General features: G+C 40.2%; 2 annotated features.

Annotated features, from left to right (window-relative positions):
• Positions 1,069 to 1,632: an enhancer, noted in NCBI's record as "OCT4-NANOG hESC enhancer chr6:88893112-88893675 (GRCh37/hg19 assembly coordinates)". NCBI's record gives its function as "activates a minimal SCP1, AML or CMV promoter by ChIP-STARR-seq in primed H9 embryonic stem cells {active_cell/tissue: H9 hESC(primed)}" and the evidence as "EXISTENCE:reporter gene assay evidence [ECO:0000049][PMID:30033119]".
• Positions 6,907 to 7,106: an enhancer, noted in NCBI's record as "active region_24814". NCBI's record gives its function as "activates an Ori minimal core promoter by ATAC-STARR-seq in GM12878 lymphoblastoid cells {active_cell/tissue: GM12878}" and the evidence as "EXISTENCE:reporter gene assay evidence [ECO:0000049][PMID:35858748]".

Below are 17,248 nucleotides of genomic sequence, written 5' to 3'. Positions count from 1 at the left end.
ACAGGAGGGAAGATATCCTATGAAAAATAGATTGAAAGTCTAGTCCTTTGAGTTCTGCACTTTAATTTCTTCTCAGAAGACTTTCCTTCATTCCACTTAACCCATTAGTTTAACACAGATTCACTTCAATGCACAATTAAATTTCGCTATAGTGTGAAGGAGTTTAGAGATAAATGACATATAGTTGAGGGAGAAAACATTACAACTATAAGCTTAGGTTAATCAATTCTCTTGGCATGTCTAAAACAATAAATTCTTTCAAGTGGCCCCTGTTGACACTTCTCTTTCAGATGACAAGAACTCCATAAATGGGAAGTTTCATTTCTAATTCAGTGACTTTTTGTTAGTTTCTTTGGCGAAGGGAGAAGGGGAAAAGAGGATAGAGTTATTGACCCCTTTGAGAATCTGATGCTTGCTAAAGATCTGATCTTCTCCCCACAGAGGCAGAGACACAGAGACACATGCATTTTTACACACAATTTCAGAGGCGCATGGACCTCTCCTGTTTTACTTCATTTCTGCTTTCCAGTCCAAGGACAATTTCTTGCCTTTGAGCCCCTTTCTGCTCTGAAAGAATAAAGTCCAGATTGAACCCAGCAACAGAATGATTTATTTTGGCTTCCAAAAAAAAAAAATCATAATCTTTTCAGACCTGTCCTCACCCACCCCAACAGTGGCTGTGGCCTCTGAGTCTACCCAGGACTTTCTCTCTAACCTGACCTTCTGTATTAGGCTGTCCTAGCACTGCCAAAAAGAAATACCTGAGGCTGGATAATTTATAAGAAATGAGGTTTCCTTGGCTCACAGTTCTGCAGGCTAAACAGGAAACACATCACTGGCATCTGCTTCTGGGGGCTTAGGAAGCTTAAAATCATGGCAGAAGGTGAAGTGGGAGCAGGCACATCACATGGCAAAGGCAGGAGCAAGAGAGAGAGTGGGGCAGTGGGGAGCCGCACACTTTTAAATGACCAAGTCTTACAAGAACTCACTATCTGGAGGCCAGCACCAAGGAAATGGTGCTAAACCATTCATAAGAAATCCACTCCCTTGATCCAAACACCTCCCACCAGGTCCCACCTGCAACACTGGGAATTGCATTTCAGCATGAGACTTGAGTGGGGACAAATATCCAAACTATTAATATATCACCTTCTAAAACGCTTTCCTGTGCTTGCTTCCTCACTTGCCATCTCTGGAATACCAGGCTCTTCTCTTAACTGCCTCAATGCTACAAGAAGTGTCCCTGGCACTTAGAAGTTCAGTTCAACCCTCCTTCCCCTTTACAATTGCTCCTGTGGGGAGCCACAGTAATGACAGGATAATGACAATTCCACAGTCTTTCCTAGCAAGCTTTAAACCACTCAAGGCCGCTCCATTTACATTTTAACAGGAGAATCATTAGTCCCTTGATGGAGAGAGTTTAGCTCTTCAATTCACTGCAGCTTTTTTTAAGCAGTGGGGAACATTTTATCACAAACTCAGATAAAGAAGATAAAGTGTGACTTAATAGCTCCCTTCATGCATATATTTCATTAGAGACTACTCTGTTTTCATAGCTACCAAGAATCACATTATTTTCATAACTTGAAAATAAGTTCAATCAGCATATTTCTTATCCAACCATTTACTTTTTCCCACAAAAGTGACAGGATGTGAGAGTTAAGATTCTGCATATTAAAGTCCAAAGCACTCTTGGTTTTTTCTTATTTTTATTGATAAATAATATAGAAAGCTGATTAAAATTACATTGCATAAATATACCTTTATACATGACATGCATAGAATACTTAATTACACATTTAACTATAAATATAAAAATCTTATTTTTCCAGAGGAGAAGTAACTTTGAACAATTCTAATTATTGATGATCTCATTTTAGGCTATATGTACCTTATTACCAAGCACATTTTGTGGTTATTTCCCTTTTTTGTGCTACTTTTTTTCTTTGTATGTCCCTTAAAGAATTATTAAGGATAATGATTACTGAAATGTGTGTCATGTTAAAAAAAAATTATTCTCACACTTTTGTTAAGAACAGTAAGGCAGACTTTACTCAGGATTCCTTCAATGGGGTTTTGCAGTAGAGGAGAGAAATTGGGCTTGTTCCAAATACAGCCAGGAAAAGTGGGAATTTACAGCCAATGAGCAGAGTTGGGGGGTTCCACGGATGGAACCTCACTAAAAGGGTAGTTATATTAATCTGTTTTCACACTGCTGTGAAGAACTGCCTGGGACTGGGTAATTTACAAAGCAAAAAGGTTTAATTGGCTCACAGTTCCACATGGAAGCCTCAGAAAACATAATCATGGTGGGGGGGAAAGCAGGCACATCTTATATGGTGGCAAGAGAGAGAGGACATGAAGGAGGAACTGCCAAACGCTTATAAAACCACTGGATCTTGTGAGAACTCACTATCAGGAGAACAGCATGGGGGTACCATCCCCATGATCAAATCACCTCCCTCCAAGCCCCTCCCTCGACACATGGGAATTATGGGGATTACAATCTGAGATGAGATTTGGGTGGGGACACAGGGCCAAACCATATCAGTAGGGTAATTCTTCACTAAACTGACATAACAAGATTCTTCTGAAGGCAGGCCAGGGTGATTAGATGTCACCTGGGACATGGTGGGGGATGGGTACAGGTAATTTGATTAGATATGGAGGGTGGAAGACTCTGTGTAAATCGACTTGACAGGATTCTTGCCCAAACTGGACTCTACCGCAAGGATGGAGACAGAAGCCCAAGGTGGGTCTAGTCAAGCAGAGGGCTCAGAGGAGCCTTATTAAAATTTTGTCAAGGAGAAAATCTTTGTTAGTCAATACAAGATATGCCTTTTAATGTAGAACTATTCAAGAATTCCCTATGCTTTCTTCATTTGAATAAACAAATTTAAAAAGAGATTTTTGACAAGATATTTCCTCAGTAATTTCCTCCAAATTTCTGGGAAACTAAACAGTTAGCTGCACTATTTCTCTTACCATGATAAAGCATAGAAATGAAAGGAAATGAAGAGTGGAGACAGAGATAGTATTGCCAACTGGCTGACAGATCTTTGAGAATATGATTCTGATGGGGCTGAGGATATGCTATCCCCAAATATGGCACCTTGGTGTTTGAGAAAACTGCAGAAGCAGGAACGTCTCTCTCTGACCTTCTCCCACCCTTCTCCCCTGAAGCAGGCTATTAGTTCTAGAAATGGAGTTTCTGACCTTCACCTGAATAGGCCATAAGACCTTCATGTGAGCTCTGAAGACCCAGAGAACAAACAAGCTTTGCTAAGCTCCTCCTGGTTTACCATCATTAGACCATACTTCTTTTACCCAGTCATACTTTTCCACAACTATCCATTTCTTCATCAAACTCAGGAATGAAAATACACAGGTTTCTCTGACTCTTTCGATCTTCATTTCTGAAGGCTACTGTGTCATGCAAGACTTATATTAAATAAGTTTGTATGCTTTTCTCCTATTAATCTATATCTGTCTTTTGTTATAGAAGCCTCAGCTATGAACCTAGCAATGGATAAGAAATCTTTTCTCCTCTATGGTTCTCATTGACAAGGATGATAAAGGCATTAATATTAAGTTTATTAGTGACACTTTGAATATCCCCAAACATAACAGCAAAGTTCTGAGGAGGAAAGGAGATGATCCAGGGGTCAAGTGCAGCACATCAAATCAAAGCTCTTTTCAGCAGACAAGTGGGGAGATAGGATGCATCATAGCAACCACACTTCCCTATGGTGCTTTGAATACAGTTCTCATCAAGGGCTTATTTAATTCTCTAAGTCTCTACCTGCTTCCCTCTGGGACTGCCCAGTCAAAAGCATGGGTCTGAATACATTTTACTTGTTTTTGTGTCCCAGTGCCAGCTCCTTAATGGACGATCAGTATATACTTCCTAAATGTATATATAACATCAGTTCCCTGTGAACATTTTCTTAAGACTTTTAGTTGTTAGGTTATTTTAATTAACTCTCGTATCATGGTTGCTCAATACCTACTGGGTGCCAACCTGATGGTACATGGTACATATTACTGATCCCTCTTCCTGGATTTCTCCTGAGGTGCTGTGCCTGATTAACATCTACTCACCCTTCAGTCTCAACTAAGACCCCACTTCCTTCCAAGCTCTCCCTAATCATGCTGAACCAGGTTCTTCCCTTCCAAGGTATACCTGTAGCACCCTGTGCTTCCACTTTCCTTACCATGTGAAGAGACCAACAGCCCATCAAACTGGTATGGAGATACTTCAAAGTAAAGACATCTGAGCTGCAGAAGATTCAGAAAGAAATCTTTGAATTTCCTTCATCTGACAGTGTTTTATGAGAGTCAGCTGCCCCTGAAGCCCCTTTGGGGAGGTGTCCATTCAAGAAGGTAGTGGCCTTGCACAACAGGACAATCCAAAAAAATGGTGTGAATGAGCCCCATCAGAACCTTTCAACCTTTGAAACTCTAACTTCTGCCCTTCTTATTAGAGACTAATAGACTGTCTTACTAGACTAATAGTCTAAGAGACTCTAACTGTTCTGGGAGCTACTCTCTATATAAGGTACTCCTGCATGCCTAATATATTTTTCTCCTATTAATCTGTTTATTGTCACTTAATTCACAGGCCCCCAACCAGTAGGACCTGAGTTGGGAGAGGAGAAGTTTTTCCTCCCAGCACATGACACTGTTCATTACAAATTAATTTTAACATGAATATAAGCTCAGAGAGCAGAGATTGAGTTTGTCTTACACTCATTGAATCATCTAGAAGTTTCCCTAAGTCCTTGCTTATCCTTGACTATTTTTTTACTTCATTCACACATGAACAACAAATTAATGTACTACAGTATTTTTGAATATGGAATCCGTGTACTATAGTATTTTTTTTTCCAAAGCTAACTGAGTATTTCTCAATTGAACTAGTTATTTGATCCTTGATAAATATACTCCTTATTCAAGTCCTCACCCAGCCCTCCAAATCCATTCAATGTTTCTCTACCTTGCTGTGACCACTAAAAGGCTCACAGCTGTTTTCTGCCTCTGTTGGCCCCCTTGCCTGCTGGCTCCGGGCTGGGTTCAGGCAATGGAAAGTACCAGCAGGTGATCAGAGGGCAGGAGGGGAGAGAGAGGTCAGAACTTACCTTTTCCCCATTTCCCCTAGCCCAGTGCAGAATCTCTTAACAGCAGCTGTGTCCCTTTGTGATTTTAGAACACATACAGGGCCCCTGCTCTGCTAACTTTACTTCCTCTTCTTGTTTCTTTAGCCCAAGAGACATCAACAGGTTGTTGCTAGTCTCTGGGTGCCTCACCTTCCTGTTTGCTCTTTTAATCCTTTCGGTAAGTAGTGCCTTTATTAAAGTCTCTTCATGAAACCATCAGAGGTGGTTGCTGTTTCCTGCAGGAATCCTAACAGACACAGTAGATAACTTGGTGGGTTGTTGTTGGTTTTATTTTGTGTGCGTTGCGGGCCGGGGGCGGGGGCAGGAGTAGGGGGACAGGGTGGTGAAAATGTCTAGGATTTTTACATTCTGTTAATGATTGAGCATTGTCATTGTTTTGTTATGACAAAACAACGTGAATGGGAATGTTATTCACACCTTCAATGTCCAGATGTTTACACTGAGTTTCTCTGGATCTTTTCTTATCTTAACACTTTGATCTTTGTTTCTGGCCCAACAATTCAGTTGTCTCTTTTGGGAATTCTATATTCCTTGATTGAATCTCCGTGATCTTTTCCCCATATTTTTAAATCTCACTCATCACCTCAATCTTTTACCCATTTCTTCTGTGTTCTGGGAGAGTTTTGCAAATTCTTTTGTACTTCACTAACTGATTTTCTTCTATTGGCTGCTTCCATCTCTGTTTTAAATTTGGCAGTCATGATTTTCAAATTCAGGCAATCCTTAATTATTTTAGATGTTTATTCAAGTTACATAAATGCAATTCTCTCTTGAATCTTAACAAGAAGACAAATCAGTTGTTTTTTCAAAACAGTCTACTGAAAATGGCTGTTCTCTGAGTTGGATCATCACCCTCATCCCCCACATTTTTTTGGTTTAAAAATACATTTGTAGGCAACATGATTTTTCTGTTTACCTATTGTCCAAAGAATGCTATATGCTTGCCAGTTTTGCTTATAGTTGAGTAAAACTTGAGATGGTCCCATCAAAAATATTGATATATTTGTACAAATCCTTTCAGAGGGGTATTAGGGGAAAAGCCTTCAGAAGATAGTCAGTTCTTGGGTCCAGCATGGAGGCAATCAGAAATGACCTGGAGCTTGAGTTGCTGCCAGAAACCATGTTTTATTCCTTTTTGTATTTCTAGCACAATATCTGATAATGAAGATTTGATGGATAAACAAATGACTGAGTTCAAAGTTAAAGAGTTTTAAAAGTAGTCAGTGGAATAAATTTTCCATATTAAGAAAAAAAATTAAACTTTTAAATATTCATCATTTTAGCACACTGTCAACAAAATTGTGGGTTTAAAGAAAAGATTAATTTAATGTTTTTAAGGTCCAAAGTGTCATTTTTATTAAAATGCCATTGTTTTCTAAGTTCTGAACCAGTATTCTTCTTCTCTGTACTTAGACAGAACAAATATGCAGATGAGTCATCCAACTTGCAAAGAGGCCATGGGAGGCACGATGAGGTCAAGAAAAGAGCAAACTGACTTAGTGAGAGAGACCAAAGTTCCACTGCCATCTTCCAGCTGTATGACTTGCATATGCCATTTAAATGAAGTCTGGGTTTTTTTTAATCTGAAAAATTTGCCTTATCTACCTCAAAAAAAGGGGATGAAAATGCATCTTAAGCATGAAGTGTTATGCAAATCTTGGTTGTGGTTATTACTATAATTTCATGTATTGATTTTAAACAAAATGTACTTTGAGTTGGAAGGTAAAAAATATGAAAGACTCTAAGAATGGGTAGGCGGGGAACCAAATGATCTGTGGCCACACTGAAGGTAGAAAAAAAGGAAGTGAATTTGAACTAAAGAAGCAGAAGTTGAGAAAGTACCAAAGTCTTTGACTTTCAGAGTGACCGAACACCAGCATAGTTCACCAGAGAAGATCAGGAATGCTGTCTCTTCTGAAAGGGTACCAAAAAGAGAGTAAACAGATCATTCTATATTGATCAAGGAGTGGCAAACTGACATCTGCAGAACAAATCTGATCCCCAGATGAGCTCTATTTGTTCAACAAAGATGTTGTCGTTGTTACTTTTTTTATTGAATTTGAGTGCTTTGGCGCACCTAGTCTTTCTGCCACTGTAGGTCCCACGACTTTCTGTTGCCTTATACTCAGCCCTTTAATTATTCAAGATACCTGCAGAGCCCTAGAGGCCTTTGAGGTTATCACTTCTACTGAAGGCCAGTGCCCAAGGTTGCTGCCCTGCTATCTCTCCTCCTAAGTTTTCCTAAATGTGTTCTAATGGTCACTATGCCTGCAGCCTGTCTTCTCTCCACTCCATCTAGCATATGATAAGATAAGTCCTTAAGTCTAAACTTCTCAGCCCAATATATGATACCCTTTAAGAAAAGTTTTCAAACTTCCACTTTCAGTCTCATCTCCTGACTTATTTCCACACTTTTCTCCTTTAAGTCCTCCAAACTTTCCATTTGCTAGAGACATCATCCTTATTTCTACTCTCAGCCTTACATTTGGTGTTTTCTATGACTTGAATGCTTTTTATTATTCAGAGCCAAGGTCAAATCTCATTCCTATGAGGCCTTTCCTAATTTTCTTTCACTACCCAAACACTCACTTTAGGAAGAATTAGTTACTCTTTTTTCTGTGTTTCCACATGAATCTATCCAATTCAAGGACTTCTTTGCATGTAAATCTCTATATCCATATTTCCCTACCACACTGTAAAATCTTCAAGGCCAAGGACTGCATCATATTTATTTTTGCATCTATCTCAGGTCCTAATACAATGGTTATACTATGATTGTAACTGAGTAAGAGTTATGGTGGATACACAATTTTCAGCAGATGTCCACAAAGGTAGATAAATGAAGAAACATAGGAAGAGTGCCTGTTATTTTCTGTTTCTTTTAGGATCAGTTAGTACTTTTATATAGGCCTTTGATTGGGCAGTGATATTTTGTGGGGTACATTGCCTACCACAGGAATGGAGAACCAGTCTTTTTTTTTTTTTTTTTTTTTTTTTTTGAGATGAAGTCTCGCTCTGTAGCTCAGTCTGGAGTGCAGTGGCATGATCTTGGCTCACCGCAATGTTCGCCTCCCAGGTTCAAGTGATTCTCCTGCCTCAGCCTCCAGAGTAGCTGGGATTACAGGCGCATGCCATTGCACTTGGCTAATTTTTCATATTTTTAGTAGAGACAGAGTTTCACCATGTTGGCCAGGCTGGTCTTAAACTCCCGACCTCAGGTAATCCACCCCCCTCGGCCTCCCAAAGTGCTATGATTACAGGCGTGAACCACCGTGCCCAGCCAGACAACCAGTCTTTCAAACATGTGCCTTTGATGACACAGAGCAGGCTGGGAACAATGCTAAGTCATTGCCCCCTTCTTTTGAAGTAGATAAGGCGGATTTTTCAGATTGCTACTTGCAATCTTCTTCCACACCTAAAACTGCAGAAACTACCAGTTACAGCACAGACTGAAGGAAAATTGCCTGGCACACTCCAGGGCACACCAACTTTCAGCACATATATGCTCAAAGTTTGATGACCTATACCCCCAGAACACTGCAATTCTATCTTAACAATGTCAATAAGCAGGACACTTGATTTTTCACATTGCTTTAAAAGAGAAACAAGAGTGATAGATTTGATTTGCAGACGAAACACTGAAAAGGAAAACAAACAAAACACAGTTTTATCTTTTTTTTTTTTTTTCCATTTTCTGGAGAACGGGGCCTCGCTATATTGCCCAGGCAGGTCTCGAACTCCTGGGCTCAAGCTATCCTCCTGCCTCTTGCCTCCCTGAGAGCTGGGATTACAGGCGTGAGCCACCGCGCCTGGCCACAAAACACAGTTTCAAGAATGAAATGCCCTAAGAGGGATTTCATGATTTCTAGATGATACTCATTATACATAAGTCTGTGCGATATTCCTATGTTACAGCGATCCAGCACAATACTGGTTCTTCATGACACTGGAGTAAATTAGGAGATTAGGGTTCAACAAGGTTGTATAAAAAGGTTTGATTTTTGACGTTTGGAAGCACGGTTGCATGGGGAATTAAGAGGAATATTTGTCACAGCTCTGTAACTTAAAAAAAAAAGGAAAGGATTCTTTACACAATGTCTGAATTTATTAATTCAATCAATATCATTGAGAACAGATCAGGTACTGTTCTACATGCTGGGACTAGAATGATGAACAGAACATGCAGAACCCTACACTCATACAACTTGCATTCTGGATGAGGCTGACATTTTAGTGATGGATTCAGATTTCTTCTTTTTAAAATTTCAGAGTCTTGTAATTCCATAGGAAGTCAATATTTTGGAGAAAGGATTTTCATGTTATGTAAAACAAAGGTCAAAAAACAGTAATAAATCATTTTAGGAGAATAAGAGGGAGACTAAGAAATATCCTGAAATGCAACTAAATAATCTCTTACACTTGCACTCTCTCCTTCCATACCTACAACTGCAAAAAGCACTAGTTAGCATAGGCAGGGAGCGAGTATCTTCTTGTTTTCACTCCTCTCAGGCGTGCTTCATGGTCACTAGGTTGGTCAACTTGCTTTCTCCTAGGAACTGAGAGGAACTCTTCTGCCAACAAGTTGCCTGTTCCTTTGGAGTGCACAAGGCAGAGTGGACCCGTCTTGGTCATGTTCTCTGAGACTGTGGTGTAAGCTTGGAGTAACTCTTAACCTATGGGTTCTGGGGCATGGAGAAGGAGGTGAACACCTCAGGAGCCAGCCAAGCGGAATCAGAGAACCAGAGGCCACATGAGCCAGCAGAGCACATCTGAACCAGGAAATGTGACTGCTCTCTGGAGCAGTGGGTTTCAACCTTGTCAGACGCAGCTTTTTTTTTTTTTTTTTTTTTTGAGATGGAGTTTTGCTCTTGTTGCTGCAGTGCAATGGCATGATCTGAGCTCACTGCAACCTCCAGCCCGCCAGGTTCAAGGGATTCTCCTGTCTCAGCCTCCCGAGTAGCTGGGATTATAGGCTCATGCCAGCACATCTGGCTAATTTTTATATTTTTAGAAGAGAAGGGGTTTCGCCCACTTTGGCCAGACTGGTCTCAAATCCCTGACCTCAGGTGATCCACCCGCCTCAGCCTCCCAAAGTGCTGGGATTACAGGCATGAGCCACTGTGCCCGGCCCGACACAGCTCCTTTTATAACAAATATTTTGTAGTGTACCTTAAGTGAAATAAATACTATAATTTACTCCACACGTTTTTTTAAAAGTCAGTATAATGCTCTAAATATATAAGCTTAGGCATAGAGATTATACATAGAATCCCTGCAAATGCCCTAGTAGTGAATATAGACTGATAAAGATATGTTGGTCTATGGCTTAAATGCCACAGTGAGGCAATTTTCCATAATGTTTTAACTCTCAATTTACATGGTGGTTATATTCCTAAAAACGTCAATGTATATTAAAACCATGAACAACAACAACAGCAAAAACCAACTTTGAATTTATATGTAAAATGTAGTTAGGCTCTGGGCCCAGAATAATAAGCAGGTTCTTCACCAATATGAATGCCCACCAAAATATTTGTAAATTGTGTGGGACACAAGACAATGTTTAATTGTGTGGAACCGCCCTGTGCACTGCATCAAGCCTAATCTCCCAATCCCTTATTTTAACCTCCCAGTCATGGCGACAACAAAATACCTCTCCTCCTACAAATTTCCAAAGCCCTTGGGGTGTGGAGTGCTACTGTCCCCTGGTCTACCATACTTGAGCTAGCCCAATGCTGTCCTAGAGATGTGGCCGGATGGGGTTTTCACTTGCATCCAGCCATGTGCTTAAATGAGTTGATCAAATCCATTTAAAGGGCTTGGTATGCAATTGGCATTTTCTTTCAACATTTGAAATGCACAAAACTTTGATTGGAAAATTCTACTTCTAGGGATTTGTACTTTAACTCATCCAACCAACTGTATATACAAACAATGGCTAAAAGGCTATACATCACACTTAACAGCAAATTTCTCTGGGTAAGGAATTGAGAGACGTGAGTATGGGGTGGAGACTTTCACTTAAACTTTCTATTACCTAGTCTGTCTTTATAATGAGTATGTTTCAGTATTTATTAAAACAGTATTTTTAAATGCTATTTTTACTCAAAAATAATAAAGGGCTAAAAATTAGATGATGAACTTGAGTATGAACCCATGACTTGACTCAGTGACCCACTCATTTGAGTACATTAGTCCCAACATATTACGACCATATCACCTAACGATGTCATCTTGACATCGTAGTATCTTTAAATCATTTTTTTAAATAAAATAAAAATAAATATCCACTCTGTTGCAATGTGCTCTAACTTTCAGAGATATTCTAGACCAGTCTTCTTCTCTGAGGTCTTTTAGAACAGAAATAAATTAGTCACGTGTCTGCCCTGGCAGAATATGTGAGGAATTCTCTAAAGTCAGACTCTTGGGGCTGCCGTGGGAAAGCTGAGCACCATTACCACTTCACAGCAGGCAAAGTGTCAGGGTACAAATGTCACATACCATCTCGAGTTTCTAATTTTTAGTATTTAAGGGACTCTAAGAGATATAAATATTTCTGAAAAATCTTTCTTATTTTCTCTTTTCCTGTAGTTTCTTTATTCCTTCAGTTCATTTTTCCTTTCCTTATCTCCACCCTGCCCCCGACAGTTTCCTTATTAAAACAAAGACAGCTATTAAAGGAAGAAAGAACTGCAGAAGGGGGAAAGAAAGGCTTCCTCTAGAAGGTGACAAAGGAGGGAAGATGTCAGAGGACTGAACGTGGCCTTGACATTAGGATGTTCCTCAAAACAGATCATGATATAAAGCTCAGAACTAAAGATTTTTTTAAAAACATTAACCAATGGTTCATCGTCCCCCTATATGCTCTTTGATAACTTTAACACTAGAGTTGTGCTGAGTTAATACATGAGATCATATCTGAGAAATTATTAATAGCTCCTAAATTAACTTCTCGCATGGGATTTCTGCACTTACAGTTGTTCTTCTGATGCCTGAGAACCACATACAATACAGAGATAAAGTTATAATTATTTTACTCAATGCCTACTATAGGGAGAATATGCAGCCTGAACGTTCAGCAACCCCAGTTTTGAGAAAAAGGATATTTTTAGAGGGTAATAAATTGCATGTTTTATAGATTTTTATGTATAAGGAAGCTATGTTCTCTTAAGTTGAAAAAGTAACCCCCAGTGGGCAACAGTTTGCAGGATGTAGTAGCAATAATCACAGGTAGATCAATGTCTTCATCCACTTGGGCTACTATAGCAAAAACCTGTATAATTACTTGGTAATTTGGAAATAATAGAAATTTATTTCTCACGGTTCTGGAGGCTGGGAGGTTCAAGACCAAGCTGTGATGGAAGAGATGAATGTTGTGTCTTCTCATGGTGAAAGAGGCAAGGTAGCTCCCTTCAACCTGTTTTATAAGGGCACTAATCCCATTCATGAGAGGAGCCCTCATGACCTAATCCCCTCCCAAATCTTCCCACCTCTTAGTACTATCATGTTGGGGGTTAAGTTTCAACATATGAACTTTGGAAGGACGCCAACACTTAGACCACAGCAATCAGTTAATTCGCAGCTTAAAAATCATCGTGCCATGAACTAAAATTGCTTTCAATACTTATAATCATGCTTTACATTCATCTAGTATTCTGGCTTAAGAGTCTTTAACTTGGTTATTAACACATTACATCCTCTTTTATGGGCCTTCAATACAAAAATCAGTGCTGTCGAAGCTCTAAGATTCACAATTTATTTATTGTTCTTTCTTGAAATAAGAAGAATAATTAAAATATTCTATGTAATTTGATACAACTAAGAAATTAGTGGACCATTAAATCAAATAAATTATTGATAATAATTGTTTGAATTTTTCTTGAAGCTCTACCAATATATTTCTACCTTATTAGATACTCACAAACACTGTATAAAGGAAATTAGAGATATTAGTGTTATTCCCATCACACAGAATAGAAAAATGAGGCCTAGAAATGGTGCATGATAGCCTGGGCCATCAGCACCAGAGCTGGGGGTAAAATCTATATCCCCAAATGTTCTCAAATCTCCACTACAGCCTGTCTAAATTAATGGTTCTTTAAACAAAAAAAATTCAAAAACAATCTGATCCTTTCAATTCTTCAATAAGGCCTAAACTGTACCGGTTTCTTTAACAATGTTTTAGATACAACAAGCCAGACAAGACATCCAAAGATAAACCGCACACCCCATTGGCTTTTGCCAATTCTCATTTTTACTGGCAGCTGCATTTCAAGGAAAAGCTGGTGAACTGCAGGGAGTAGATAATGGTGGCTTCTCAAGGTATCAGTACATCTAGACCACTGTGCAAAGCAGATAATCTACAGCATCTGTTTAGAATGGGAGAGACAGCAAAGAAGTCACAGCTGAGCCCCAAGAAACCCTCAAAATGTGAGCACTTTGTTTATGAATCAGCTGCCTGCTCTATGGCTTGAGAATTAAAGAGCCTCAGCCAGGCTGTGGTCCTCTCCATACACTTAACACAGATGCAGCAACAGTGTAGCAGAAGTTGTGGGAGAAATAAAAACAGCAATCACTGATTGAGAGTCTAACTTCCAGGTACCAGCCTGGTTGTTTTATGTATATTGTTTCATTTAATCCTCATAGACCAAGATAGATGGTCATTTCTTTTTCTTTTTCCAAGCTTCTACCTGAAGTTGAAATAAACCATGAAGAACACCAAGAAGAGAGTTTACTCGGAAGGCCAAGTGATTAAGAAGTACATATCTTTTAGTAGTATGTTTCTATTCTTTGCCGTATTTTAGCATTATAATACTGCTGCTTGCCCTATTTTTTAAAAGTGAAATATTTAGACATATAATATTTATAGCCTTTTAATTGGAAAGTTTTGATGACTCGTTTGTAAGAGTTTAATCAAAGGAGAACAAAAGCTTTATTAACCTGCCTCCTCACCCCCCTTCTTTGCACGATGTGCTTGTTTATTATCTGTTGGAACATACTCCTCATATGGTTTGAAATGAAAGGATGATCCATCTCCTCATTACCAATCCTCTGCTTGGTGATGAAAAACAAAACAAAACATATGAACAAAGGAAAATGCCTTCCTGCCATTTCTCAGCCTTCCCTGTGCTGCTCAGCTGGGATGTTAAAGATCTGGATTTAATGAAAGAAGGTGAGAAGGTGAACGACAACAACAAAAAGCCCTAATGAGCGAATATTTAGTTATACAGGAAGATCACTGAGAAGTGGCAGCAATTTTCTTTGTACCTAATACAACGCAGTATCTCCCAAGGTCAAACAAGCCCATGGCCCTTCCTTCCTTACCCATTCATTGCCTACCCTGGCAACCCACTTCTCCACCTAGAGCAGGTCTCACAAAGTTTAATTTCTGACAGTTGAGTGAAAAAGAATCTCTTTTCCAACACCAACTTGTAGTTCTTGAGAAGCACGCAGAAGTGGTGCAGGAGTTTCTTTCAGTTGCTCGCATCGCTGGTGGAGCAACTCACGAGCAGGCATTTCAGACCTTACGCTGTGGATGGCAGAGCCCCAGCCCAGTCTGCAGGCTTACTGACACTTACCCTTTAGACTGGGAGTGAAGAAGCAGATTCCCATCTAGTAATGCAGAGCCACTGAAAAACAAAATGCTTCAAGGGAGAGCCAATAACAGCTGTCGAAACTCTAAAGCAATGCTCCGAATTAGAATGAAATCGTGTAGTCATAATATCATTCCTAAAATGTCCTTAATCAGTGAGCGTTCCAGCCCTGTAGTGTGAGCATCACACTGAAAATACCAAAGAAAACGTGAGGACCAAACTTGGACCGAACCCCCAAAACTCTAAAAGAGAGTGATGTCGCTTTCCAAACCAGGAAATCATGACTCATCATCCCCAACAGACCACCCATTTGGGGAGTGGGAGAGAAGCACGACAAACCATGGCAAGTTAAAAAAAATAAAATAAAACCAAAAACATCTTGAAGTAGAGCTCCTTTTGGATCCACAGCTATCTCACCAAAGCAGACATGTTTCCTTGATGCTCTATGGCCAGTAGAACTCTTAACACTTTGGCAGGCATAAATTGAGATCTTTCTTTGAAGTTGAAATATGCAGCCTTAACTGTGCTCTCATCCTCTACATTTCACTGAGTGAATAACCTAAATTACACAGAACGGCAGTAAATTGGCTCATCATAGCCCTGTTCTAATTTTAAAAGGATAAGGATCTGAAAAACCAGGCAGCCTAGCACTGAAGGGACTACTGAAGCCTGTTCAGGGGCTGCCGGGGCATTTCCTCAGAAGGTCATGGATTCAAATTCAACCTGGGTTTGTGGTGACCAAGAGCCATTCAGCACTTCATGTTAAATTTATGAATGCTCTCAACATAATGTTCCTAATAGGGAGGCTGACAGCTTGCATTTGTCATTCTTGCTGACTGTCTCAGGAGTACAGTGGATGGCCAACCACATGTGGAAACTAAATCATTTCCTCCCACATAAAGGTGATCCTTGCAAAATGTGAACTCCAAGGTACCGAAGAGCATCTTTCCCTCGCACCATCTGCTGTCTGATCTCTGCCCCTCTTCCAGTTGCCCCAATCCAAGGAAAAAGTACAGCAGCTCTCCTGTCTGTCAGTCTAATACCTTGACGAAAATTTAAAGATGCACATGAAGGCCCACAAGAACAGTATTTGCCAAGGAACATAACTCTCTTGTTTTTGACACAGCATTCACTTGTGGTGATAAAATGCCAGGTCATAAGTCAAATTTTGACTCCATTACTGATTATTATCCTTGAGCTCTAAATGGAAAGTCAGTACAATTCAGCTGTCAGGCTCCAGGTTTCCCCCAACCCTGAACAACAGAATAACAAACTAAACAGTTATCTCGGCTGGAGTCACTACTAGATGAGATTCCGAGTGATTGGCTCTGGCCACAGGTCACACTGGCCCATCAACGATCTTAGGTTTCTGCTTGGAATTTCATAGAATTCAGTGAAGAAACCCAACGTCAATCAGAAGATATTTGGGATGACTTAGAGACACAATAATCAGATTGTTCCTCTTTATGAAAAAGCAAAAGCTGGTGTGGCTGAGTTGAGATACAAGATTTCCATGGAATACCTTTCACAGGTTGATGCTGACCACCACGAAGGTATAGATCAACATGTGGGAAAGTGCTCCTTATAGAAGGAGCACCACCAGGGTGTGTCAGTGTTGTTTAGCTGAGTGATGTTGAACAGCTCTGCCACTCCAACAGCTCACGCCCTCCAGCTACAGGGGAGGGTGGTAGCACCCAAGTGAAATCCTGTGGCCTGAAAGCATTCTAGGAGTCCAGCTCCCCCAGGTTTCTTGTGACTGAAGATGTCCTTATCACAGTCAGAGGAAGCGCTGCCTTGATCCTTTCTTTTAATTACTAGCAGTCATTTGAAACTGAGCTGCCAGGTGGAGGAGAGACTTTGAAGTTATTGTCATCTGGCCTCTTGGGAAATCAGAGTCTGCGAGGTCATAAGGAGAGAAAATTTTTGCAAATATTTCCTACTGCCAGGGGTGTGAGGTGAAGGGAAAATCTAACAACCACGACCCCTAAAAGAAAAAAGCAACAGATGTTGAAGCCTCCTCCCTTTGAATCTTGCGCTGGAGCTGTCTCTGCCATGGAGGTGGGCTAAAAATGCCTGTGAGTAGAGCCTTCCCCAAGCAGCAGGGTTAAGGCTCAGCACTAATCCCACATCTACTATCTATCTCCCAGTCATTCTTCCATCTATCGATGGGTCCATCAGAACTTTATTGATAACCTTTTCTAACCACCCACCTAGTAGGACTTAATCATTTCAGCGGTGGACTCTCTCTCTCAATGGAGTCAAATGGTCATTTGCTTGACGGAAATACTTCTAGTCTAAAGCAGTCTAGGGGGATTTTCAAAAACTGCACTAGTGCTCTGCGGGAAGCCTTTGTACGATTTGGCCTGACGTTTCCAAAACGGTTTTACAGCCTTCCCTCCTCCAGGACCTTGAACTCAACAATCTTCCTTCTTTCCCTGAGAGGCTCGCTTTCACAGATTCTCACCACGTAGTTCAAAT

The sequence above is a fragment of the Homo sapiens genome, chromosome 6, assembly GCF_000001405.40.
Source record: "Homo sapiens chromosome 6, GRCh38.p14 Primary Assembly".
NCBI classification, from domain to species: Eukaryota; Metazoa; Chordata; class Mammalia; order Primates; family Hominidae; genus Homo; species Homo sapiens.
This window is presented reverse-complemented; position numbering and strand designations above follow the sequence as displayed.